Below are 26920 nucleotides of genomic sequence, written 5' to 3' on the forward strand. Positions count from 1 at the left end.
CTGACCAGGCCCCCAAGCAGCAGTCCTCAGGGAGCTGCACCCGTGCCAGTGGCCCCCTGCCCTGGCCCCTTGCCTTGGGGCCGCTCGTCCTGGTCCCCAGCCATGGTGGCAATGAGAAGGGAGCGCCAGGGCAGACCGTGTGAGATTCCTGCAGAGCCTCACTGCCTGCGCTCTCCTTCTTGCAGAGTCAGATATCCGGCCCAGCAAGCTCCTGACCTGGTGCCAGCAGCAGACAGAGGGCTACCAGCATGTCAACGTCACCGACCTGACCACATCCTGGCGCAGTGGGTTGGCCCTGTGTGCCATCATCCACCGCTTCCGGCCTGAGCTCATGTGAGTCTGGGGCCCAGGCTGGCCCCTGGAGACGAGGGATGCCAAGGCCATTCTGCTGCATGCAGAATCTTCATTACTTGGTTCAATATTTCTCTTTCTGTGTTTCAATTTGAGATTTTTCTTAACATTTGTTCTTTTCCCTTTGCACTGATTACTCTGTCAGCAGTGTGTTTGATCTGTGTTCCTAATATGTGAGGATAAAAATTGGCTCCGGCTTAGTGATGGCACTCTTGACACCTCACCCCCCACTACCCTTCCCCCCCGAGCCCCATCACCACACTCTTTGGAATTTGAGCATTCACACCTTGGAGCTTCACCCTCAAGAGAGGAGTATGGGCCAGACCTAGTTCCAGGGACTAGTTTGAGGGTTTTATAGAATTAGGTTTGAGACCCAGATCCATAAGCTGTGTGTCCTTGGGCAAGCCACTTACCTTCTCTGAGCTTTAGATTCTTCGTCTACAAATTAGAAATAGCAGCAGGGTCATTGGGGAGATCAGGTTATGTTTGAGGAAACACTGTGGTGCTAAAGCATGGTGCATCTGTGTTTAAATCAGCAGCAGCAGAACTTCACAGCCAGGTGCAAATCACAAAAAAGGCTGACAGCAAACCTACCCAAGGGCTAGCAATTGGTACTTTAGGAAATGAGGTGGCCTTAGGAGGATGGACCGTCTTTTTTTTTTTTTAAGCTGGAGTCTCTTGCTCTGTTGCCTGGGCTGGAGTGCAGTGACGCAATCTCAGCCCATGGCAACCTCCGCCTCCCAGGTTCAAGCAATTCTCCTGCCTCAGTCTCCTGAGTAGCTGGGATTACAGGTGCCCACCACCACACCCGGCTAATTTTTGTATTTTTAGTAGAGATAGAGTTTTGCCATGTTGGCCAGCCTGGTCTCGAACTGAGCTCAAGTGATCTGCCCGCCTCTGCCTCCCAAACTGCTGGGATTATAGGTATGAGCCACTGCGCCTGGTCTCCCTTTTTACTTTATATGCTATATAACTTGATGTTTTTTACAAGATGCCCATTTTACTTTTGTAATTAAAAAGAAAAAAAGTAAGGGATATATTTAAAAGTAAAATAGCTCATAAATGTTCCCAAGAGGTTTAAATCATTTTCTGATGGCTTTAGCCCAGGCAGCAATAACGTCATCATGGCCCAGGTCTGATTTTGTCCCTTCCTGACCAGTGGAGTGGTGGGTGAGAACTGGGAGTAGGGGCTGGGGTCACTATTCCTCCCCTGTAACCTGCCGACACCTGGCAGAGTGTCACCCTCAGTGCTCCTTACCACCTGAAGGTGCTCAGCTCGCCACACCTCTGCCTCCTCTCCCTGAATTTCTCTGCTTTGTTTTGATTCTCTAGCAACTTTGACTCTTTGAATGAAGATGATGCTGTGGAGAACAACCAGCTCGCATTTGATGTGGCCGAGCGAGAGTTTGGGATCCCTCCAGTGACCACGGGCAAAGAGATGGCATCTGCCCAGGAGCCTGACAAGCTCAGCATGGTCATGTACCTCTCCAAGTTCTACGAGCTCTTCCGGGGCACCCCACTGAGGCCCGTGGGTAAGCACCTGCACAGAGGTTTTGCTTAGCCCCTTGAGCCAACTCTGTCCCTGTCTCTGAGTCTGGCTGCTCCTAACACTGTATGGTCTGTTCTGGGGCTGCCCAGTGTGTTCCCCTTGACTTTGAGGCCAAACAGGGGTGACTCCACTCACCCAGCCCCTGTGCATGTAAGTGGATCTGTATGCCATTTACATCTTGAGTTTGGGGTGACAGAATTATTTTAGAGGGACCTGGTTACAATGACACCTCCTTGTTTTTGTTTTTTTGTTGTTTGTTTTTGGTTTTTTTTTTTTTTTTTTTGAGAGGGAGTCTCGCTTTGTCGCCGAGGCTGGAGTGCAGTGGTGTGATCTCGGCTCACTGCAAGCTCTGCCTCCTGGGTTCACGCCATTCTCCTGCCTCAGCCTCCCGAGTAGCTGGGACTACAGGTGCCTACCACCACGTCTGGCTAATTTTTTTTGTATTTTTAGTAGAGACGCGGTTTCACTGTGTTAGCCAGGATGGTCTCGATCTCCTGACCTCGTGATCCACCTGTCTTGGCCTCCCAAGTGCTGGGATTACAGGCGTGAGCCACCACACCCAGCCAACACCTCCTTGTTATAGCCATACTTCCCAGAGCCAGGTTCCAAATCACAGTTGCGCTTTATTTCCCAACAGATTCTTGGCGCAAAAACTATGGAGAAAATGCTGACCTCAGCTTGGCCAAATCATCCATTTCTAATAACTATCTCAACCTCACATTTCCAAGGAAGAGGACTCCACGGGTAAGTTTTGGCCTGGTTTCGGTTTTATTTCCCATTGCACATGGACGGGGTATGAGGAACGGAGATTGTCACATTCTCAGCCTGTTGAGGCTAGTAAGTTACATGGATCAGGCGCTCCCGGAAGATGCTAGTAAAACTCGGATTAGTGACTGAGTGTTTTTGGAAGTTCTTCCTGGCACTGTGTAGCTAGTTTCAATGACTTCAAAGTGGTTATAGGAAGGACATGGTAGCGAGCTGATAGAACATATTGGTGAATGCTTTTACAAGTAAATCAGATCAGCTCTGCTTCCTGAGGGATGGGGATGAAATGATTTCTCACTGTGCTGAGCAGTTTAGATCTGGAACATGACGGCCATCAGTTTAGTGGCAGAAGTGCATGGTGATGATGCTCTGTTTACACATCTGTTCCATTAATTTGTATTTATTCACTCATTCAACAAATATATATTGGGCTCTCCTATAGGTCAACTTCAGGGCTATATTTTTTGTTTCTGATGAGGGGAGCAAATATACAGAAGTGAATAATATATGGACCTTGCCTTTGAGGAGCTCGGAGCCTAATAAAGAGGTTCCCAAACTTTCTCAACTTATAGCACCCTTAATGTCTCTGTAATTTTTTTCATGGTGGGCCTATACCAAAATAAATACCTAACAGTTTCATTTATTAAGTAGTTAAGACCAAATAACTTAATAGGAGCATTTTTCAAGATGTCTGACAGACATGATAGTGTTTTCCTAGAAAATTAAAAATATTCTGTGGCACCTCTGTGAGTTCACATGGTGCCATGGGACACAGTTTGGGCATCACATGCCTAAGGAGCAGTGACAGTTTTGTGTGAGTGCTAACATCTCTGTGGGAGGCATAATGCAAGTTCTCTTGCTTAATGTGCACATTTTACAGATAAAAATGGAGGCCTATGGTTGTGGTGGCTCACGCCTGTAATCCCAGCACTTTGGGAGGCCAAGGCAGGCAGATCACCTGAGGTCAGGAGTTTGAGACCAGCCTGGCCAATATGATGAAACCCCGTATCTACTAAAAATACAAAAAATTAGCCAGGTGTGGTGACAGGTGCCTGTAATCCCAGCTACTCGGGAGGCTGAGGCAGGAGAATCGCTTGAACCCAGGAGGCAGAGGTTGCAGTGAGCCGAGATTGCACCATTGCACTCCAGCCTGGATAAGAAGAGTGAAATTCCACTTAAAAAAAACAAAAAATTGGAGGCCTAGAGAGGCTAGGTGCCTTGGCCAGGTCACCTGCTACTCCGTTGTACTTCATTACTTTGCCCCTACCCCATGCTTCCTTCACACTAATTAATCAACTCATTGAAAGGCATTTGTTGTGTATCCAGTTATAGGACATACAGAAGTAATGTGAGCCTTGACCTTGGAGTCCAGTTAGGAAGATAGATGCTGGGAAGATAGGGAGAAAACTGAGAACCAAGAGTCCGAACCTTGGGGAACAAGGGAGTTTGAGGCGCTGGCAGAGGCAGAGCAGCCAGGAAAGAAGATGGGAAGGGGAACAGGCAGTTGGAAAGTCAGAGAGGGAGTCGGGAAGCCCACGGAGGAGAGCGCTTCTACGGGATGGGCCCTGGAGACCATGCCAGGCGACAGGGAAGCCAGCCAGGGTCGGGGCTGAGGACAGGCTATGGGATTTGGATGTGTTGGGGCGGATGGCAAATGTCAGAGTTCTAGGACTGGAGTGGGGAGTTCCTGGGGTGGTCAGTGGGAGCAGAGGAGAGAAGATGGGTGGAGGAGAATAGGACCAGAGTGAAGCCACTGGTGGGAGCAGGGGTGGCTTGGGGTAGGGGCAGTTGTAAGTACCTGCCCAGAGCTTGCCTGCCCTCTCCAGGATGGCAGGGTGCCCTCCACCAACAGGACAGTGGGCTGGAAGCCTCTGCAAGTTTCTGAGTCTCTCTAGGTGGCCAAGAGTCTATTTAAGCTTGGCCAAGGCAGCCATACCTAGCAGGGTGGGATGGGGCCACCCAGCCTCCTTTCCCTGGGCTGTGTGAGCAGTGGTCACTTTTTCCACTGAGGCCTGAACTCCCTGCTCCCTGGGATGCTGCAGCGGCTGTTTTGCCAACCCCAGGAGCAGGATACTTCATGCTTCTGTGGCTCCCTATCTCTAGGAAGGAATGGGCTAGCAAGGCCTTAGCTGGGCAAGGAAGATGGCAACAGAGCAGTTAAAATGATGAGCTGCACCCAGCCTCTCTCCCACTCTGAGCCGGCCCAACCTAGAGGCTCTGTGTGAGGGCTGCATTGTCCGCCATGTTCCCACTGAGTAAATGGGGCTGTCTTCTGGGTACCAGCGGTCAGCTTGTTCTACCTCCAGCCCAAGGACCCCTGTCTTGGGCTGTTTGGCCCCAGGCAAGCCAGTCAGTGTTTCTGGAAGCTCTCCGAGACAGACATTTACTGCCTTTCTCCATTCACCGCGTTTCTGCCACTTGGCCCTCAGAGGGAACTGGAGAGGGATGTTTCCACCTTTCACTCACCACACCTCTATTTACAGAGTGACAGAATTGAAACAGCCTGGCCAGCACTGGCTTGGGAGCTGGGGATGGTTAAAAGTCAGGAATCAGCAAGGTTAGCCAGGCCTCCCAAGGGCTGAGGGCCTCACTCCACTTCCCTCTGGCTCTGCTAGAAAATGCTTGTGGTAGAGGGCTCTGCCCAGCCCAATTCTGGCCCCTTTTGAATCTTGTTCAGTCTTCTTCAGGGTGTGTCCCTTGGCTGCCCATTTTGAGAGGAGTCAAGGCCCACAGATCTGTCCTCTCCCACAGCCTCATTTAATCCTTGCACTCTACCCCATCTTTGGATAGGTAGAGATATTTGGCCATTGAGTTAAGTGCCTGGCATGGGCATTGTTTGTTCTCTCAGAGCGATGGAGCACTTCCTGTGGGTGGGTTAGGTTGTTTCGTAAGGCTACTGGGTCACCACACTGTGCCTTGGCCATCACTGAAATACCTCTGCATTCTGTCTACCACTCAATGCCAGCACAGTGATCAGGGCCACGTAGAAAGTACCTTCTTCCCATCCTACCAGATACCTTGTTGTATCTGAATGCTTTTTTGATTTGGGGAACCGAATGGCAATGCTCTTTGACCTCAACATTTCCCATTAGCAAAGAACAGTGAGTCCACCTCGGTCTGGTCCTGCACAGCCACAGGGGATGTCTGCACGTAAGACTCTGAAATCCATACACAATTACACATCTGTACATAAAGGCTCCCTCACATTTACACCAAGATATCAGTACAACAAAACACGCAACCCTCAATGACCTTGCTCATCAGCCCTTCTGGAGTGGAGATACAGGGCAGGCATGCTTGCACGAGTCTATACAATAGCCCTCCCCACAAACACAGACAATATCTGTACATACAGGTGCATCCGTATTTGACCTTCCTCCCTGCCCCTCCCTAACTTCCTCTCTGTCTTCCAGAGGAATATATTGATATGGGAATTGAGCTGTGAGTGCACATTTATTTACAATGTGGCATCTTCATCTGAAGAGGATCTGCTGGTTCTCTGCTGAGTCAGGCTTAAGAACCTCCCTCCCTGATTTTCACTGACGATGTTAAATTCTTCTTTCCCCCCCCATCTTATTTTCCTGATAACATGCAATCCAAGCAAGATGTATCAACTTCAAGCAAAATGAAAGGCTTTTTCTCCATCAAGGATCTCATTTACTTTTAAAGAGAGTAACTTTTCCATTCCCACCATGAGTGGTAACCCAGTGGGTTGATTAGTTCTGAAAACTGGGCAGCCCATGCCTGGAAAGAGGAGAGCTTGGGGAGTATATTTTCCTCTTAAAAGGCCCTTGGTCTGCTTCTGCAGATCTGTCTGTGGTCCTGGTGAGGATCTAAAAGCCTCATGGCATGGGACAGTTCCTGGGGGCTCCAGGGCTCTTGTCATCATGCATGTAGGTGACACCTGGACATATAACCAGGGCGTCTATCATGCCTGTGTGCATGGGCACACACACAGACATACACCCTCAGACTCACAATACCTACCAGTACTCTCCTAGACCTGCCACACATGGTGACACCTGTACTTATGGCCACTACGGTCATTACTGTACACATATGCAGAACACCAATTTTTGTCCCATTCTGAGCCCACTCCTTGGGGGATAAAACAGAAGTTGTTACTTGTCCCTGGAGAGCTCATCCCAGAAGCCAGATGGGTAGCCCCAGGTTTGATCCTGCTCAACCAGGTCCTCCTCCTCCTCCAGCACTGGTCCCTGACAGAGTGGCATTCACAAAATGTGACTGACATTTTTGTCAGTGTGTGGTCTGAGTGGTCCAGGTCCCCCTCCCCAACCCTCCTCTTCCTGAGCCACCTGCACACTTTCCGAAGAGCCGGGTGGCATTACGTGCGAAGGTGCCTCTTCCTTCCATCTACTCATTCAACAACTGTTTCTTGAGTGCCTATTTTATGTGGAGTTCTCCTCAGTACTGGGGATGGAGCAGTGAACGAAACAAGCGAGGACCCTGCGTAGGCAGCTTACCTTCTAGTGGGACTTACGAACTTCCTCTCACCTCACTTCCCCAACTTCTCTCACAGAACCACACGCCCAGCAGCCAAAGCTCCCCACTAGGTTTCCAGGACTTCTCATGGCAGAGGTTTGAAGAAGGCTTAGGGGAGTCAAGAGTGCCGCTTTCCAAGGCTGGGCCAGCACAGGGCCCTGGAGTATCCCCTCCAGGTGCGCGCAGGTCATGGCTGAAGCTACTCTCTCTCCTTTCCTCAGCGCAATCTCAGTCCAGGATTCAGAGCTGATTTACAGATTGGGAATGCAGTTAGAAGTCAAGCAGACAAACACAGATTTACGTCTGCTGGGGGTCTGGCAAATGTTCTAGCCTCTCAGAAATCTCCTTTGCTTGTCTGAAAAATGAGGGTAACAACATGTACACCATTGTATTGCTGCAAAGATGAGGTGATCAAATGCGTGTGGCAGGTCTGAGCACGATGTCTGGCAGGTGGAAGGTGCTTAGTAAATGATAGTTCTTTTCCTTTAGAAATGATGATTAAATGAAGATGCTTGTTTTCTCAAAAGATGAGTAAAATGATCTGGCTTGAACACTTGGTTCTGTACTGCAACCACAATCAATACAGCCCTTTGCAGCATACAAAACACTTTCACATACATCTCATTTGCTCCTCATGTCACCTTTGGAGGAAGGCTGGGAACATATTTTCATGCCAGTTTTTAGATGAGGAAACTTGGACTTGGGGAGATTACATTTTGATAAGTCATGTAGGTGGTAAATGTCAAAGCCAGAAGTAGAACTCAGATGTTTAAAATTCTGTTACTCTGCCAAGCACGGTGTCTCATGCCTGTAATCCAGCACTTTGGGAGGCTGAGGTGGGCAGATTGCTTGAGGCCAGGAGTTCAAGACCAGCCTGGCCAACAAAGTGAAACCCTGTCTCTACTAAAAATACAAAAATTAGCCTGCGTGGTGGTGCACACCAGTAGTCCCAGCTTCTTGGGAGGCTGAGGCATGAGAATCACTTTAACCTGGGAGGCAGAGGTTGCAGTGAGCCAAGATCACACCACTGCACTCCAGCCTGGGCAACACAACAAGACCCTGTCCCCAAAAAGAGAATAAATAAAATAAATTATGTTACTAACACTAGCCTCACTAATAGTGTCTAATACTTGTACAGTAGTGCCCTCCTTATCTGCAGTTTTGCTTTCTAGGGTTTCAGTGACCTGTGTTCACCCATGGTCCAAAAATATTAAAAGGAAAATTCCAGAAACAATTCAGTTTTAGATTGCACACCATTCTGAGTAGCATGATGAAATCTCACAGCATCCCACTCCATCCTGCCTGGAATGTGAATCATCCCTTTGTCCAGCATATCCATGGTGTATTTGCTACCCACCCATTAGTCACCTTAGCTGTCTCAGTTACCAGATCAAAAAAACAGCATATCTAGGGTTTGGCAGTATCCATGGTTTCTGGATTCCACTGGGGGCCTTGGAATGTATCTGCCATGGATGAGGGGAGACTACTGTCTAGCACGTTATAGTTTAAGAAGTGTTTTACATCTGTGATTTCATTACTCTCACAACAGCTTATGAACTAAACAATATAAGATCCCTTCTTATAGTTAAGGAAACTGAAGTCAAAGTAGTTGGATGGTTTTCCTGAGATCACACAGCTGGGAAATAATTAGTACCAATGCTCAAATCCATGATTCCTTGAAGAAAGAGCTCTCTTGCTATCACTGGCCGTCTTCCTGACTATCATAGCTGCTGCCCAAATCAACAAAACCATAGCCTGCAATGGTCAACCTCTCTTCCTATGACCCATATCTAAATTATTCCTGGGCTAGGCTATACCAGCTAACTAAATATAAAGTTTGTTTGCTTTGAGCTAAAATCACATTAACTCGGGCAGTATGGGAACATGGTTATCTTGTGCTGATCAAATAAATGTTCAGATTGGCAGATATCTACGTCTTTGATTTTTTTTAATAGGAAAACCAATTAGTTTAATAAATGCCTTTTGGTATATAGACTCTTTCAAATCATTGGGAAATCATGATAAGAAAGTATTCTTAGGGCGGAAGAGCTGGAAACATTAATGGGAAAAGAACATAAGTTATTTATTCTCATGTTCTCTTTGGGCACAGTAAGTATTTTCTTTCTTCTTGTACTTTGAATTCTTTGTAGAGTGAAACAGGGTCCAAGGAAAAGGGAGTACTGAAGCAATTTTGGTTCACAAATATAGATATACAGATAAGAAAAAAGTAGATAAATCTCTAGGTTTGAGTGTTCTTAACCTTTTTGTCTTAGCCTAGCTCTTAGTTGAGAATCAGTGCTTCAATGTTAAATTCATAAGGAAGAGTAGAAACCATTTGGGTATATGTGTTGCTAACCTTTCCATAGACTGCATTTGGTTGTCCCATGGGTCAGGGTGGGTCAGAGGGGCTGAGGTTGTCCCCGTCCATGTCCTTTATTCCCCCTGAAGGATTTGGAGTCTTCTTAGGAGCTGCTGGTGGGCACGGCCTCCCCAGGAATGCCCTTCATAAGCCCATGGCTAATATGGCTGTCTTCAATCTATATAGGCTCCCGTGGAACAGTCCCACCCTGGGCTTGTTGAGTACAAAAGAGAGTAAAATGTTTTGCCCTTTGGAGGAAAAGCCAAATCCTCATTTAAGGTAGAAACCAAAAAAAAAAAACAACAGAAAACCCTAAGATTATGCATGAAGCATTCTTGTTGGGTAGGACATTCTGTACTTTCACAGGCCCCAGGTTTGGGCTGGCAAGAGTAGCATTCCCAGGCTGTGGAGCTGGGGGTCCAGACAGCCTGTTCCTCTAAGACCCAACATTGTTGCAAATAAGATCATCTGTTTCTCTTGGTGTTTGCCCAAGCTTTTGGCTTAAAATCTTTTCCATTCACAGAATAATGATTTATCAGAAGCTGAGGAAAACGTTCAAGAGAAGGCAGGGCCCTTTGATGTGTTGTTTTGTGCTGCCTGGGGCAAATTTTTGAACAAATATCAATGGACTAAACTGTGGTTGATCTTGTCTTTAAAAACAAACAAAAAAATCTGGTGCTGGTAAATATGGGGAGAGGGCAGGGGATGATGAAGAGGACAAGAGATGAGGATGCAGATGCTTTCCGTTGGAGGGAGGGGATGCGTACTGGGTTGTGTGTTGGGGCACCCGTAGCTAGGGTTGTTGTTTCAGACAACCAGGAGGTAAAAGAATCCTCCTGTGATCGGGTAGGTTAGGATTTACGGGGCTGATTGGGCTGTATGCCTGGGTTTGAGGTGAGCAGGTGGCCTGCAGCACTTCCCCCTGCATCCAAAATGGTAGAAAGGCTAGGATTTAATATGGGCCTGCGATGGAAGCCCCCTCTGAGAGGGTAGATGGCTCCCTGCAGAAGCGATCTATGGTCAATGGGACATGGCTCCCTGGTTCTGACAGAACTAGCCATTTGGAGAAGGCTCCCGTGGCTGAAGACTGGTAGCAGAGAGGTCTTACCCCAGAAAAGGATGGGGGAGCCTAGGTGGACCCTAGCCCAGCGACAAGGGTAGGCTTACCCATGGGGTACGGAGGAGGTACTAAATTCAGTCTTTCCCACTCCAGCCATAGCATCAGCTCGGCCTCCAGAGTTCTGCTCATTCCCTGAGGAGACAAGCCTGACAGCCGAGTGCCCTTTGGGAGCCCTTGCAGGGTGATGCAATGGGCTTGGGTAGAGCAGGGCTTTCTGGATTTCAATGCCCAGATGCAGGCAGCAGAGAGTGGGCTGTGAGGCGTTCTCAGTAGGGCAACCATGTCATGTATCATCTAAACCAGGAGACTTCTGAGAGTGAAGGGGGCACTGTTAACAATCAGGCTGGGGGTAAAAAGCGGTAAATCAGAACTACCCTCCACCTCCAACAAACTAGGCTGTATGGTCACGCTAGTCATCAGGCTATAGTTAATGCTTATTTGAAGTTAATAAAATATTGTTTACTAGGATCTGTGATGGTGAGTGAATTGCAGACTTGATTTGCCATCAAATCCCTAGGCAGCTCATTTGAGCCCTGAGAGTCCATGTGAGGTGAACCCGGTCACCTTCTTGTAGGAGAGAGGCTCCCTGGGTGCAGAGAGACCCCAGCTGGTCTCCATGAGGCAGCACACTGAAAGCATCAGCAGACCTGGCTGTGGCCTTGGGCAAACCATTAAACTGCTCTGAGCCCAAGGCCACTTTGCAATGGAGATCATCCCTGCCCTGCCTATGTCACCGGGATTCTTTTTGCTTTGATGTTTCATGAAGATCTTTTGGGGTGTAATTCCAGCCCCTTCTGACGAAGCCTTGGCTCCCTAGGTGGAGTGAGGTTCTCTCCGCTGTGCCTGAACAAAACCCTGTGACAGCATTTGTCACAGTGCGGAGTCATTTACTACCACTCCTGCCTGTAGGCTGACAGCTGTTTGTGGGCAGGGACACATCCTCAGCGCCAGCTCAAAGCCAGCCCTATGCCCTCAGGGATCTTAGTGGGACTGAAGCCCTTGGTGGCCCCCAGAGCTCACCCTGCTTTCTTGGCCATTGCAGGTGGATGGTCAAACCGGAGAGAATGACATGAACAAACGGAGACGGAAGGGCTTCACCAACCTGGACGAGGTTTGTGTACACAGTGTGGCTTTAAACAGAGGCTCGTTTCCTGACAACCAGTGGCCACAGGCAGCCTCACTGTGGTAGCAGCCTGGCCCTGTTCCTTCCCTCTCTCATGAACCACTGGGTTCCAAGCTTGGCGTGATGGAAAAACAGTTGGGGTTTTGGATCACGCTTCACTACTTACTAGCTGTGTAACCTTGAGAAACACAACCTCCCAGGATGTGGTTCATGTCTGTAACGTGCAATGATACACTTGAAATACATGAAACTTGGCAGGACTTTTAAAGATGAATAAGATGAACATGGTATCTGACACATGTTAATCAATATACAACCACTGTTAACAGTAAATAGTAAAGAGGCATCAGCACTCCCACTTTTCTCCCAATCATCGTTTGTATCCATTTGTGTTTCCTTTGCTTTTAGCCTTTAAGGCATATGTCGTGGTCTCCACAAGTGCCACCTTCTGGTGAAAGAAGAAAATTACAGGTTACTTTGTCAAAGGAGAGCCTGAATCTCTTGCCTGCTTCTGAAAAATTGATCAAGGGGAAAGAGTGTCAGTTCTTGCTTCCCTGGGCAGCTTTTAAAAGAGACCTGAGATATACACGTCATTCAAAAAAAGCCATTCCAACTCCACAAGCATGCATATTGTCAGCGAAGTGTGGGATGCCAGCTTTTGCCAGCCTACTGGCTGACCTCAAAATGATGACTTAGAGGCATGAGGGACGGTCTGTATAATACATTGATATCTGATTGATAGGAGGTAGAAGGGACTTTTTCTACTGTTTATGGTCGAAGAGTTTTTATTGCTGTATAGTTGCATGACATGGTTGTTCGTGTCTGACTTGCTGCCCCTCACAACAGTGAGCTTTATAATAAATAGAGTCATGAGGTTCACCTTGGGGAAAGCAGCAGCCAGCCATTCAACCCATTATCTGTGATGGTCAAAGGGAAGCGCTGACAAAGAAAAACGAGTTCAGTTCACATCTTAAAATATGAACAAACCCATTCTACCCAATGAGTTCAAAACACCCTGGGTTGAACATTTTCCTAGAGCTTCTTGAAGGTGCACTTCAGGAAGCACTGTTTCTTCTCCACCACTTGGCTGTGGTGTAAGCAAGAAGCCAGCAAATAGAGACACAGAGAGGAAGCGGAGACTGCACAAGGCTACAGACACATTCCATTTCCCAGATTACGGGTGTCAGCTCTCTAGCTTCAGGGCCTGGGATTTGCTCCTGCCTATTCCCAAGAAGCTTCCCTTGGGTACACTTTGTCTCAGGTGGAAGTCTTTTCCTATGTTTCACCCATGGCTTATTTATTTAAGGGTATGTGAGTGTTGTTTCTGTTATTGGCAACCTAGGAGTTGGAGTGGGAAGAAATCTGGTTTGTGTCTACCCTTTCTGAGACAGCCCTGGACAGTCTCCTGGGGCAACGGTTTTGCTTTAAGTCAGTTTTAACAAAGCAATATTCTTTCTAAATTCTTGCTACTCAAAATGTAATCCAAGATCCAGGAGCAGCAGCAGCAGCTGGGTGCTTGTTAGAAGTACAGGCTTTCAGGGCCCACCCCAGACCTACAGAAAGCAAATCTGCTTTTGAGGATTGATTTCCTGGTGATTCGTGGACCCGTTAATGTCTGAAAGTGCTGGCCTGTATGGCCCACCGTCCTGGCTAACTTTGGTCTTGTACAAATAGTGATCACCCAAGTAAGCACAGCCTCTTCTCACTCAAGCCTGTGCTGTTGTGCACAGTTACATTTCACTTTGAAGGAGGGTATGCCTCTTCGGTTTGTGTTCGTCCAACACTCAGAGTGGCTCTACATACAAGGTTCCCCATAGGGCTGCCACACCTAGGGATCTTTTTAAAAAAAAATTAACTATAGCTTGCCTTTTCCAGTGAATTTCTTCTAAATGAACACATCTTTGTTGTCGTGAGAATGTCTGTTCCTGTGAGGGACATTCCTGGTGTCCTTGGGAAAACTTACTGCCCACTTGCTGTGGCAGCACCATTTATACTCCTGAGGCCTGTGGGAGGAGATCCCGTAGTAAGGGGGAACAGACGTTCTTAGTAAACAGTGGTCATTTTCAATTTTTCACTGTTAGCAGATGAGCTAGAGAAATCTTATATGGAACTCCGTTTTATAAAATAGCATAACCGAATGATCAAGGTCTACATCACCACTTATAAGTCACGTTGATATCATGCAGCCCGCTGTACTGGAATGAGAAGAGCATTTCACCTCGGTGGTGTCCTTCCCCAAAGTCTAATCATGAGACAACATCAGACCAACCCAGATTGAGGGGCTTTCTATTAAACAGCTGCTCAGTACCCTACAAAAAGTGTCATTCTGTAACAGAAACTGTTACAGTTTGTAGGAAACCAAGGAGACAGGGTGATGAAATGCAGTGTGGGATCCTGGGACAGAAAAAAGATATTAGTGGAAAAACTGATGCAATCCGAATAAAGTGTATAATTTAGTTAATAGTATTGTGCCAGTGTTAATTTCTCAATCTTGATGACAGGAGCAATTATTCCAGATTTAACACTGTGGGCAGCTGGGTGAAGGGTATGCAGGGACAGTCTGTGCTATCTTTGCAACTTTTGTGTAAATCTAAAATTGTTTCTAAATTAAAATTTTTCTTTAAAAAGATAGCAAAAATAGAGCAGGGCTGGTTAAAGCTGGGGGTAGGTACAGAGGAGAAAGGAGAAAGATCTCCAGAGCCCAGGCCTTGCCTGAGTGACCCCACCCGTGCTTCCTTCATTGGCCCCCAACCCCTGCTCTTCTCCTCTTCTCAGCCAGATGATGTATTTTTGAAAACCATTTTGTTCAACACTTCATGATTATACTTGGTTTTTGCAGTAATCATGTGAAGTAGATTACTGTTCTCATTTTATACATGAAAAAATGTCAGAGAAGTAAAGTAAATCGCCAACATCACAGGGATAAGAAATGAGAGTCGGGATTCAAACCCCAACCACCTGGCTCCCAAGCCTAGCTGTGCCCATCCTTTGGAAAGACGCATCCCTCCTGTGAGCATTGCCTCTGCGGGGGTGGCCCTGCTGCCTCTGCCTCCCTTCCTCAGACCATGGAGGGAGCCCTTCTGCGGGAAGCTAGTCCCACGTCCTGAGTCCCCAAGTCTGCTTTCTGATATCCAGATTCCAGGATCCAACCATCAGTGTCCCGTTTCAACCTTTGCAGCCTTCAAACTTTTCCAGCCGTAGCTTGGGCTCCAATCAAGAGTGTGGGAGCAGTAAGGAAGGTGGAAATCAGAACAAAGTCAAGTCCATGGCGAATCAGCTGCTGGCCAAGTTTGAGGAGAGCACTCGGAACCCCTCACTCATGAAGCAGGTGAGTCATGTCAAATACTCACTGGACCTAACTTCCTGGTGACTTTTCAGCAGGAATGTTCTGGCTGCTGATAGACTTCAGATATGCCAGCCAGGCCTGGTCCCAAGGAGACTTGAGCTCCTTCTAGATCAGGAGTCAACAGACTTTTCTATAAGAGGCCAGATAGCAGTTTTTTAGTGCTTTGGAAGCCATACTGTCTCTGTTACAACTCTGCCATTGTAGTATGAAAGCAGCAGTAGACAATACCTAAACAAATGAGTCTGGCTGTGTTCCAATAAAACTTTATTTACAAAAAACAGGAGCAGGCCAGGTATGGCCCATGGGCCTAGTTTGCTGGTGGTTGTTCTGCATTAAATAAATCCATTCCCTAATTTGGTTTTGCTTTCCAACCGTGACTTGGTTTGCAGCCAGTTTTGAGGTGATACAGTTTGAAGGAGCTTTGAGAGGCTGGCTGGCTGGGAAAGTACAAAGTCCACAGTGAGAAGATCCATCCTAACCAGAGGAACTGAGTCTGAGCTCACAGTATTGAAGGCCAACCTCCCAGGTGTTTCCTGGCACTCCCCTCTCTCCCTGCACCAGGGTCAGCCTGGCGGGGCTGTTTTGTCTGATGGGGGTTAGTGTGAGGCTGGAGGAGGCAGAATGCTGCGTCAGGCTGTAGGCTTCCTTCTGACTCCGGCTCCGAGGTCTGTGCCTCGTGGTTCCGTTTGCTCCCCTGAACTTCCTTTAGGGTGCTGTTGTCACATTACAGAAGCTTGGGAAAAGAGGTTGGGTTTTTCTATGGTGAACACCTGTCACATGACAGAATGAGACTCCTTTTGGGAGGACAGACTCATAGTTAATTAGCTTTTGAGGCAACCATAGATGTCTCCTTAGTCTTGATGTGGACTGTGTCCCTCCTGGGAGAACTGACCTTCTCCAGGAAGTGAAGGAATTTTATTATAAGGGGGCCATTTCCTTGAGACTTGTAACTCTCCACAAATTTTCTTGATTGCCCATTCTGGAGGCTTGGCCCCTCACAGTCCCCAAGTGCTGATGAGGGCTCCATTCCATCAGAAGCACCGGAGCGTCCCTGTCCTTGAGTGGGCAGGAAGCTTTTCTGTTTCCAGGTAGACTCCTGGGCCAGCCACCCTGGCCTAGCCACCCTGGCCTGGCATGGGCTCTGGCAGTGCCTGCTTAAGGCCCTGTGTCTGAGCCAAAAGCAAAGCCACCCTGGGATTCACACATTGTCCATGAGAAGGGGACTCCAGGACTTGCTGTTCACATGGACAGGGAGCCAGGGCTCAAGTTTCCCAGCTGGGCCCGGCTTGCGGGAGCTCAGCCCAGTGCTTCCTCTGCACTTGCAACCTTCGTCTCCCTGCTCCTCTTCTCTTCTCCCTCCAAGCCTCTCAATCTGACTCACCTTTTCCTTCATGTCTCCTGTGGCTGCTTTTTTGGACTCGCCTTTCTTCTCCCAGGAACGCCGTGTCTCAGGGATAGGTAAGCCGGTCCTGTGCTCTTCCTCCGGCCCTCCTGTTCACTCTTGCTGCCCCAAGCCGGAGGAGGCCACACCCAGCCCATCACCTCCTCTGAAAAGGCAGGTAGGGCTCCTTCCAGTGGATGCTGTTTTGGTGAAGCCAGAGGGGACTTTGATCCAGATGGGTGGGGTCAGTGGCTCTTCCCACACCCCAAGTAGGGCTGATTGTAGATTTTCTGGACACACCTTGATGTCACCACACTTATAGGTAAGAATAACCAAGTATGCAACATCACAAAATACATTTTATTGATCCCTTAGCCAGTCAGAGGTATCAATTGACCAAATACCATGCTCTCGATGGTGCTGCTAGGGAAAAATAAACTGTACCACAGGGTATTTTGTATGATGCCCTATAACACTAAGCATTATCTGCAGACCATTCAAATAGGCTGATTTCCATATCAATGAAAAAGTGATGTTGGAATGGGCCCAGGTGGCCACTTGGCTGGACCCATTGAAGGGGTAAGGCTGGGATGTGGCGAAGGCCTTGCCGGTGCCAGAGTAGCTGAGGACCTGCATAGCGGGCGGGAAGGCAGCTGGCAGTCACGGAGTATGGCTTATGGCAGGTAGTGCTCCTGAGTTTGGAATCTGAACCGAATCACTGTTATTGACCATAAGCCACAAAGTTGTCTGGTCAGCATTAGGATTTGTGTGTTGCTCCCAGGTGGTGGAGGTTGAGTAAGGTCGGTGTGACTACAATGCAGCAATTTTTATGTCTGTCTGCCTCACCTGGGGAACTTTTAAAAAACTACCAATGTCTCATGCCCAGTCCAGAGCAATCCAATCGAAATCTCTGGGGGTTGGCCCCAGGCTTGGGTGTTTTTTTTTAAGTACCCTAAATGTCAGTATGCAGCTAGGATTGAGAACCAGCATTGTAGAGGTTTTGATTCAGGGGGTTGGGGGTGAGGCCCCAGACTGTGTATTGTGAATGAGGAGGCCAGACAATTTTGATGCAGGTGGTGGAGAGTCAACACCTGGGGCTAGTTTGGAATCTTACTTAGGGTTGCACCTGGTGCACCCTTTGTCTCTGGTCTTCATGGGGGATCCCTCATGGTGAGGGTGTATGAAAGGGCCGCAGTAGGGAAGGAAGCTTAATTTTCCCTCTTTCCCAGTTCCCCTCTGTGGTCGTGACGGGGCACGTGCTCAGAGAGCTCAAGCAAGTGTCTGCTGGCAGTGAGTGCCTGAGCAGACCTTGGAGAGCCAGAGCCAAGTCTGACCTACAGCTGGGTGGGACAGAAAATTTCGCTACCCTGCCTTCTACCCGCCCGAGGGCGCAGGCTCTTTCCGGGGTGCTGTGGCGGCTGCAGCAAGTGGAGGAAAAGATTCTCCAGGTGAGAGACTCACTTTTTGCCCGTCTCTGTCCGTGTCTGGGTGACTTCCTTTCTTCCCCTCCCTCCTCCTACCCGGGTGGGTTCCTCCTCCCTCTGCCCACCCCCTGTCTCTCATCCTGCTGTGTGTGGTGAGCAGGCAAGGCCCCCGGCTGCCTCCCTCACCCACTTCTTGGAAGCCAACTGTCTCAGTCTCTGTCACTATCTCTCTTTTCTTTCTCCTTTCTCACCTTCACTGCAGAAGAGGGCTCAGAACTTGGCCAACAGGGAATTTCACACAAAGAACATTAAGGAGAAGGCGGCTCACCTTGCCTCCATGTTTGGACACGGGGATTTCCCGCAGGTAAACATGGGGCTTTCAGAGCCCCCAGGAACCTGATGCTGGACATCCAGCCAGGTGACCTTGAATCAGGCTCTGAGCTCAATTTTCTCCTCCTTCCTCCTTTTAGAGCATGAAGAGCTCTTTATTTTTCAAGCCACCAAATAATACAAGCTGGCATCTAGAAAAGACCCAAATGCGAAGATTCAAAATAAATAAATACATCATGAGAAAGGAAAAACTAAGACAGGAAAGTAAACACAGATCGAGAAAGGCATTACTATAAGAAGCACAAGCCGGTAGACCCTAGGTATTTTCCAAGCAGGCTCTGAGCTTCCTAAGGGTCAACACAAAGAGGAAACAGTCATCAGTTGCAGAATCACAATGCCTTTACCCAGTTGCTTGTGATGTTTTTGAGTGGGAGAGAAATCTCCCTGTGGCCCTGATCAGGAAGATACTGAATGATGAGGCCAACCACATGCTGCAACTGGGGCTCTGCTTCCCCATGGGATAAAGTCAAGCCAACAAGAATGGCTTTGCCTTAGAATTAGGAAGTAGAGCCTCCTCCAAGCCAGGTACTTATTTGGAAATTTGCTGAAAAGAAGAGCATGTGCTCAAGAGGAAATGAAAGAGTTGATAATGAGATCCTACAGGTGGGTGTATGTGTAAAGTCCTCCCTCCCTCACAGCACACCTGTCCCTAGAACTTGCCTCTCCACTGTTTTCACTTAGTCTCCTCTTCTGCTACTTGGTGGAGTCACTGGCGTGGGAAGGATGCTTTACACTTCGTTCATTTTTAGGATTCCTCATGCCTGCCAGGAGGCTAGCACAGTTGCTTGCTGCAGCTATAGAGGCCCCTGCTGTGGCCACCTGCCCTAAAGCAGCCCAGGGTTCTCCTCTCCTAAGCTCGCAGCTGCTACTTCATACCAAGCTCCAGGGTGAGGGCTTTGGTAATTGGCATCGGTGTCTGAGGCGGATGTAGGCAGGAACAGATTGAATCTGCATGAGCTATTTCGGTGTGACAAGGGAGCTGGAATAGTTGCAGCAGAATGCAGTGTAACCAGGAGCCAGATAATCCTTTCTGGCTCCAAAGACAGGGGTTTCTGTGTTGTCCTGAGACATGGGTCTCCTTTCTTTGCCTTCTTGAGTGCACAGGCATGGGACTGCATGATTGAGGCATGTATCACCATGTGTGACTCCTGGGATAATCCTTGTTTCTTCTATTTCTGTTCTGTGCAGAATAAACTACTCTCTAAAGGCCTGTCTCATACTCATCCTCCATCTCCTCCCTCTCGCCTTCCGTCTCCTGATCCAGCTGCTTCTTCCTCTCCATCAACTGTTGACTCTGCTTCTCCTGCCAGAAAGGTAGTTGTCCTGAACAATTTGCTTTCCCTATTCCCTGCATGTTCCCAGATGTTCTCATGCTCCACTTGACCTGCACAAACATCTTGAGCCTGGCTTGGCTGGAATAAAAATTTGTAAGATATTTTACACCAGTGCTGGATTCAATTTTGTTTTTGTGTTAGAGCACACAACACGGCAGAACAGGCAGTGTACAAAAGCTTGCCAAACAGGGCTCATTCATTCAGCAAGCATTAATCAGGGCCCACCGTATGCCACCCTTCGTGCCAGATGCTGAGAAAACAGAGAGGGCGGTGCAGTTCCCTTACTACAGTTGAGATGGGAAATAGCACATTAGCATAGAAATAAGTGACATTTTTATAATATGAAATATCACATCACATACTGCTGATATTTGCCTGTTTTGTCCTAATAAGATGGCAATTTCACATGATAAACTTAACGTAACACTATTCATTCATTCTATAAGAGGTTTAAAGGGCAAGATTGTAGGAATGGAGAGGGGAGAAGATGGGGAGGTAATGCAGAGAAGGTAATATGGGAACTGAGTGAGTGTTGAAGGTTCCATGGGGGGATTTTGCTAGAGAGAAGTTTAGGGCAAGGGTGTTTTGGAGAGGGGCTAGCCTGTGCAAAGGCAGGCAGGCAGGGCTTACGTGACATGGAAAGATGGAATGTCTGGTGTGACTTGAACTTGGGGATAAAAGTATTTATGGGGGCATGGAGAGTGGAAGTGAGCACACTCTGTGTAAAGGAATTTCATTTTATCCTCTGGGTTATAGGAAGCCACTGCAGGATCTACTCTGTGTTCTAGAAGTACAGCTCAGACAGTAGTGCAGAGATCAGCCTGGAGGATGAGAAGAGTGGGGAGCTAACTTTGGTTAAGTAGTTAATGAAATGCACTCACAAACAATGATTAAGACTGGGTTTAGGGGTGCTTTTCATGTTTTTCACTTGTCCTCCTGTTACCTCCTGTGCTGAGAATAATACCAGGCTTGGGTGGGAGAGGGTCTGTCTTCTGGGAAGGCTGGCCTCTGGAATGAATGAATCTAGAAATGGGCGTGAAGCCTACCTCATGAGCTGTTGCTCATGGAGTAGGTTTGGAGTCTTCCCCCACTCCACCCACCAACTGTGCTTCTCTGTTCACAGCCAGTGCGTCTGGCTCCCACCGAGGCTCTGTGTGTCATGCTGCACGTGCCGCTGCCAGAAGGAGTGCTGGTCTGTTTCTGTGCTGTTAGACTGATGCACAAACCAGCTCCATGCTATTGCATTAGTGAAAAATTAGAAGCTGCCCCTTGGTGTGTAATTGGGGGTCCCACCCCTGTTGGCCTCCACCTCTGTGAGGAGAACGGTGTAGGTAGAGTCCCTAAGAAAGGAGCAAGGAATCTTACCAGCCCCATCCCATCTGAGGCCACCAGTGTTAATGGGAAGCACCCCAGAAAGGGCAGCAGCAGGTAACACAGAGAAACGCTAACAGGATCTTCAATGCCACTGAAAATAGCCATGGTCAGCATATCAAGATCCCCAGCCACCTGCTCCAGGTCAGCCACAGGCCAGCTGTTTGACCTTAAGCCTCCTGACCTGTCTGGGCCTCCTCCTCCTCAGTAAGAGTGGTTCTGGGCTCATGTTACAGTGAGCAACATGGGTGGAGACAGGCATTTTTGTCATCACCATCAGCAAGGTTGCAGGGTAGGCTTTTTGCCCAGTTAGGGAAAGGGACCTTCCCCAGGGTATACTCCCTACTACGGGAAAAGGTCATGGCACCCTTGGCAGGATGGTGGGAGGGGAGAAGGCACCTAGGCACGGACCAGGCAGTGGCTTGTGCCCATAGTTGGTCAGCCAGGCCCACACCTTGCTTCTCTCTGGCCCAGCCCACTCCAGCTGACTGGGCCCTTCAGGGTAGAGCCAGGCAAAGCCTTCTCTTGTCCCTGCCTTTCTCTCATCCCCAGAAAAGTCTGGCGTGGTCACTGTTGGGGCCAAAACTGCTGCAAGAAAAGCTCCTACACTTCCCAAATACCCTGACTTGGTTTCCACCGGGCATTAGATCCTTCTAAGAGACGGCAGGGAGCAGCCTGCTGGAAACATGCAGAGCTGCTGGGTAAGACAGAGATGCTGTCAGCCACTAAGCGTGTCCCCATCACATCAGCATCACACCGGCTGAGGCCCTGCCTGCTGCTGTCTCTGGCTCTTCAGGCAGCCCTCCCCTGAGGACTCGGCTCCCTATCAGCCATTAGTTAATTTTGCTCCTCCAGAAGGGAGGCCATTGCTGATCTGGTCTGTGGCATGGCTGCTGGCCATTTGCCACGCTGGTGAGCTCTTGCAAGAAGAAGAAGGCACAGCCTTTGCACAGCTGGGCAGGGGGGCCCTTCACTGGGCTGGGAGCTACCCTTCAGTCCTCCTGGGTCAGAAGAGCACTGAGCATTGCAAAAGGAGCTTTCTCCACCAATGTCACTCCAAAAGCCAATGTGTGAACATTCATTCCTTCAACAAATTTAATTTTTTTGTTTTTTTGGAGACAGGGTCTCTCTCTGTCACCCAGGACAGAGTGCAGTGGTATGATCATAGCTCACTGCGTCCTCAAACTTTGGGACTCGAGTGATCCTCCTGCCTCAGCCTTCCACCCCTGAGTACCTGGGACTATAGATGTGAATCACCACCCTCAGTAAACAAATATTTATTGAATGAAAATCCATTGTTAGGCATTTCAGGCTGTCAGGATATGTATTGATGAATAAGAGTTAAATCTCTGCCCTAATGAGGCTTACACCCTACAAGCCTACAACAATCAATATATCAGTAAATTATATAATGTGTTAGAGGGCAAGATAATATTTCCTATGAAAAAATTAGAGCTGGTGGTGGGGACCTGGAATGCTGGGGAGGGAAGGGTGGCAATTTTAAATGGAGTGGTTGGGTGGGGGCTGGAGAGCTCTTCCTGTGATGGTGAGAACTGAGCAGGAGCAGAGTCACAGGTAAGAAGGCAAAGGCTCAGGGAGGAGACTGGAGCCCAGCGTTCGGACTCCCAGGCCAGTGCTCTCCTGTGTCCTGCAGAAGCCACGCATGCATGGAGGCCTTGTCAGAGGCCCAGAGGCTGTGTGCATGTAAACCCTCACACTCAGGGACAGGGAGGGCTTTGGGGTGGCCAACCCCAGATCTGCTGTCCCCACCTCTACAGCTTTGTTCCTTGCTCCTCCCCAGTTGTGGTAGAACAATTGCCCCATTTTTGTTCTTTTAAAAAATTCTTTCTCCCTAGCCAGCGTTGGCCATTAGATGATGTAATTGGGCTATTTCGACAGCTTCCAACATCTTAATTATTGGCTGATGTTTCTTTCACAGTATGGCTGGGAATGATGGAGGACCTCTTAGAATGGACTCTTGGGCAAGTCACTTAGCCTCTCTGTGCCTCAGTTTCTCTGAATACCTACACTCGCAGGTTCATGCAGGTCACACTGTGAGGCCATTTTAGGCAGTTATGGATGGAGTGGTGAGTTTCTGGTTTCAAGCAGTCTTAGAAAGGATATTGCCAGCCTCACCCATTGCCTTGACTTCCCTCACTCCCCAAACTCTGCCCCACCATTGATTCAGCACTGGGCTTTGCACATGCAGAATTTGGCAGAATCACAACCACCTCTAGGGAGAGAACTGGCTGTTCCTTAAAGTAGGTGATGATTTGGTGATAAACAGATTTATTCTATCCTGGTGCAGCTCAGGGAGTTTCTCTCCTAGAGTCTGGGGCCTTAATACTTCTTCCAAACAGATTTTGGGCTGCTCTTTTTGCTCAATGGACCCAAGTTCACCTGAATTCAGGGGAGCAAGAGGAAGAAAAATGCACTTGGAAACTGATGCTTAGTCCTTGACAACTTCCTGGCAGGCAGCATGTCTCTGTTCCTGCCCTATGGTCTTCCACACTGATTCCGAGGATCCGTGAATAATAATCTCCTCATGGGAACAGACTTAGCCAAACTTACTATGAGGAGCAATTGTTACTCACAGGGATGCAAACTTGAGTTGCTGACTCCAAGACAGGGAGCCAGGGCTCTGCCTTCAGACTCCACTTGCCCGCCCTCTCAGATTGATATTCCACTTTAAAATTCAGAGTGGTGCTGTGGGTTTCTTGGCCTGAATGGTCACAGGGAGTCTTGAGGGCTCTCACGGGGGGCTCAGATCCTTGGCAGAGTCTGTCTTTCCAGGCTGTGGACTGTGAGACCTATGCCCAGTTTTATGTCCCCAGAACCATTTCCTCATCTATCCCACCAAACCAGCCCTCTTCTGTGATCTCAGCTCCCTATCAGCCGTTAGTTACTTTCGCTCTTCCAGAAGGGAGGCCACTGTGCTGCTCTGGCCCATGGAATGGCTATTGGCTGCTGGCTGTTTGCCATGCCGTTGAGCTCTTGCAGGAACAAGAAGGCACTGAGCGTTTGCACAGCTGGGCAAGTGGGAGGGGTGGGGGCCTTCACTGGGCTGGGAATTGCCCCTCAGTCCTCCAGGGTCAGAAGAGCACTGAGCATTGCAAAAGGAGCTTTCTCTACCCTTGGGGTGTTTGTTTTAAAACTGGATTTGCAGGGTTTACTCGAGAGATTTGCATAGTAGAGAGAAACAGGGAAATGCTGGGAAGTTTTGTCTGGGGCATCCCGCCTTTGTTTGACCTGGTAGGAGGATAAATCTCAGGGACAGGTCTCAAGGCTGCCTCCAACCTCACTGTTCCTCCTTCTATCCTGGGAATAGAGCTAGGCAACCTTTTGGAGGTCTCCTGTGTGCATCCCAGCTTGGGGGATTTTAATTTGCGTAGTGCTGGTGTGGAAGAAGGATATGAGTTTCAAATCAGACTTCAGTTCAGAGCACCAATTACTCACTGTGTGGCCTTGGACAAGTTTGTGAACCTCTCTGAGCATTAGTTTCTTAACCTATAAAGTGGAGAGGACAGCAACTACTCTTGAGGGTAACTGGAATACTGCAATGTCCTAACCTATGCAAAATGCCTGAAGTATCCTGTAAAGCTTCTCTTTCCCCAGTGGAAGAGAATTCGGAAAGAAAGCTTATTTACCTAAAATGCATGTTGATCCCTCTCTTTCTAAAGGAAAAGAAGTCACCTTCAGGGTTCCATTTTCATCCCAGCCATTTGAGAACAGTGCATCCTCAGGTGAGTTAGAGCCTCCCTGAACTTCAGCTGCCTCACCTGCAAAGGGGGATTATCAGACCCACCTGCAGGGCTCTGGGAGTTAAGCGCATATGATCAGCAGCAGTACAGTGCCTGGCACCAGGGGACGAAGGTGGGCAGACATGTGCTTGTACTGGGAGCTCACAGCCCCTAAGGCCTGCCTGCGTCTCAGCTCTGAACTTGTAATTTCCAGACACCCTTGAACACAGTGATTTCAGTTCTTTGCCTGCCCTCCTACCCCCAGCCCTGGGCATATGGCCGAGGAATCAGATCCAACAGGCTGTCCTCTGATGTCTTCTCATACAGGGACTCCTCAGTGAGGATGTCCTTGCCCAAGTGGATCCAACAGACCACCTCTAGCCCTACGTGTCAAAAGCTCCCCTTCCTGTGAGCCCTCTCTTCTGAGGCCCTGCACATTCTGCTCTCACTGCTGCCTTACCCACGTGGGCTTGCTCGATGCTCCTGGCAGGCTGTGTGGCCACAGGTGGCCAAACTCAGCGGAGAAGTGTAGCCGGGACACCTGGTAATCTTGGCTCAGTTCCAGGCACAGGGAGGAACGTTTCCATTGTTCTCACACAAACAGGGCCTGGAGCCTGCTTTTTCCTGCATTCGCAGTTTCTGCCTTGTGCCAGGAATGTCGAGGTGAATAAGACAGGTCACTCAGGGAGTGCAAACTGAGGAAGAGATGGGCCAGCTCGGTGCAGTGTGAGGAACGCTCTGATATCTAGGCGGGGACCATCATTCTGCGTGGGGTCACAGGATCACTTGGAAAATGCCTCTTTGTAGAGGTCTAGCCATCGTCTGCAGCCTCTGGCATGGGTGCGTGTGACAACAGCTGCGTCGCCGTGTTTCTATCTAGATTGGCTCTGGGGAGAGGAGGCAGGGAGCTCGTCCTGTGTGGGCCATGCCACTCTTGTGCAGAGGAAAGTGATTTAAGACAAGAGAGAAGTCCCAGAACATGGAAATGCAAAGCTGCACAAACGGCCGTGCTTTGTTTTAATTTTTGTGGGTACGTAGTAGGTGTATATATGCATGGGGTACATGAGATGTTTGAATACAGGCATGCAATGTGAAATAAGCACATCACAGAGAATGGGGTATCCATTCCCTCAAGCATTTATCCCAATGGCCGTGCTTTGGACTCACTATCTGCCGCGTGCCTCCTGCATGGCCCAGGTTCTTTCAGGAGTCTTTTCCTCAGCCCTGCAAGGTTGGTGGAAGTCTCTCCATTTTACAGATGAAGAAGTTGAGGCTCACAGAAGGGAAATGGCGTATGTGAGGTTAACCTCGTGTAATGTGAGATGATTGCCCTCCTGAAATGTTCTAATTAATTTGCTGAAAAATAATTAGAATTCAAAAGGCAGGAAAAGGTAATGAAAAGCACCTAAATTCTTGAAAATTACAAGAATATTGAGAGATATTTAAAGGGTTGCAAAAGCAGTCCCATGGGACTTTGAAATTACTAGTTCTTAAAAAAACTAGAGGCTGGAACATGATCATCTTTGACCAGATCATCAGATTGTCCAACTTTGCATTTAGATGAATTGTTCCCAGCCTAATTATAAGCTCTTCTCTTGACCAGCCTCCCCAGGAGTGTGGTGTCTTGCCATCAATGCATGCTTCTGTTTGGTAGGAACCACTGGACTGGCTCTAACCCTGAGGTCCACACCAGGGTGACTTATCTAGGATTTCTCCATGAGTTGAGCATTTATTTCTCAGGATCGTGAGAACCTGAGCAGTGCTACTCAAAGTGTGGGCCACAGGCAGGGACTGGGCTGTAATCCCATGATTATAGCAAGTGAGAGAGAGTAAGTGTTGGAAACTTGTAGAACCATTTGATATTGCCACACATTCAAGTGTGTGATCATATTTCTAGTTTATTTTCATTGTATCTGGAAATAACAGGCCATAATGGATTAAATGTTTAAAAAGAAAAAACCTGTCATTAGCCACAGATAGTTTGAGGAGCAGTGAGCTAAGCCACAGTGAGTTTGAGGAGCAGTGAGCTAGCAGAAGCCAGCTAGTTAGTTATATCCTCACTCTGAGAGCCGGTAAGGCCGTCCTGCTGTCAAGAAATAGAAGATAACCCTTGATGCCCAGGGCAACATTCACCTTCACATTGGCCTTTGGGGTTGGCTTCAAA

The 26920-nt window shown here is 48.5% G+C and overlaps 1 protein-coding gene across 21 annotated transcripts in view, besides 1 other annotated feature; it reads left to right on the forward strand.

Moving 5' to 3' along the window:
* The window catches only part of MICAL2 (microtubule associated monooxygenase, calponin and LIM domain containing 2), a 251551-nt gene that overhangs the window by 113898 nt on the left and 110733 nt on the right, over positions 1–26920 (forward strand). For 11 of the 21 annotated variants that reach the window (NR_144417.2, NR_144416.2, NR_144418.2 and 8 more), the window contains 9 exons: positions 186–333; positions 1684–1883; positions 2538–2644; positions 11690–11758; positions 14949–15098; positions 16553–16675; positions 17727–17945; positions 18184–18285; positions 19500–19625. Coding sequence is in view for 15 of the 21 variants with exons in the window: in NM_001346293.2 (NP_001333222.1) it covers positions 186–333; positions 1684–1883; positions 2538–2644; positions 11690–11758; positions 14949–15098; positions 16553–16675; positions 17727–17945; positions 18184–18285; positions 19500–19625 (1244 nt within the window). In the remaining 6 variants the exon portion in view is untranslated. 21 annotated transcript variants of the gene reach the window in all.
* Positions 17471–17995: an enhancer, noted in NCBI's record as "H3K4me1 hESC enhancer chr11:12263505-12264029 (GRCh37/hg19 assembly coordinates)". NCBI's record gives its function as "activates a minimal SCP1, AML or CMV promoter by ChIP-STARR-seq in primed H9 embryonic stem cells {active_cell/tissue: H9 hESC(primed)}" and the evidence as "EXISTENCE:reporter gene assay evidence [ECO:0000049][PMID:30033119]".

Source organism: Homo sapiens, chromosome 11 (assembly GCF_000001405.40).
Source record: "Homo sapiens chromosome 11, GRCh38.p14 Primary Assembly".
NCBI classification, from domain to species: Eukaryota; Metazoa; Chordata; class Mammalia; order Primates; family Hominidae; genus Homo; species Homo sapiens.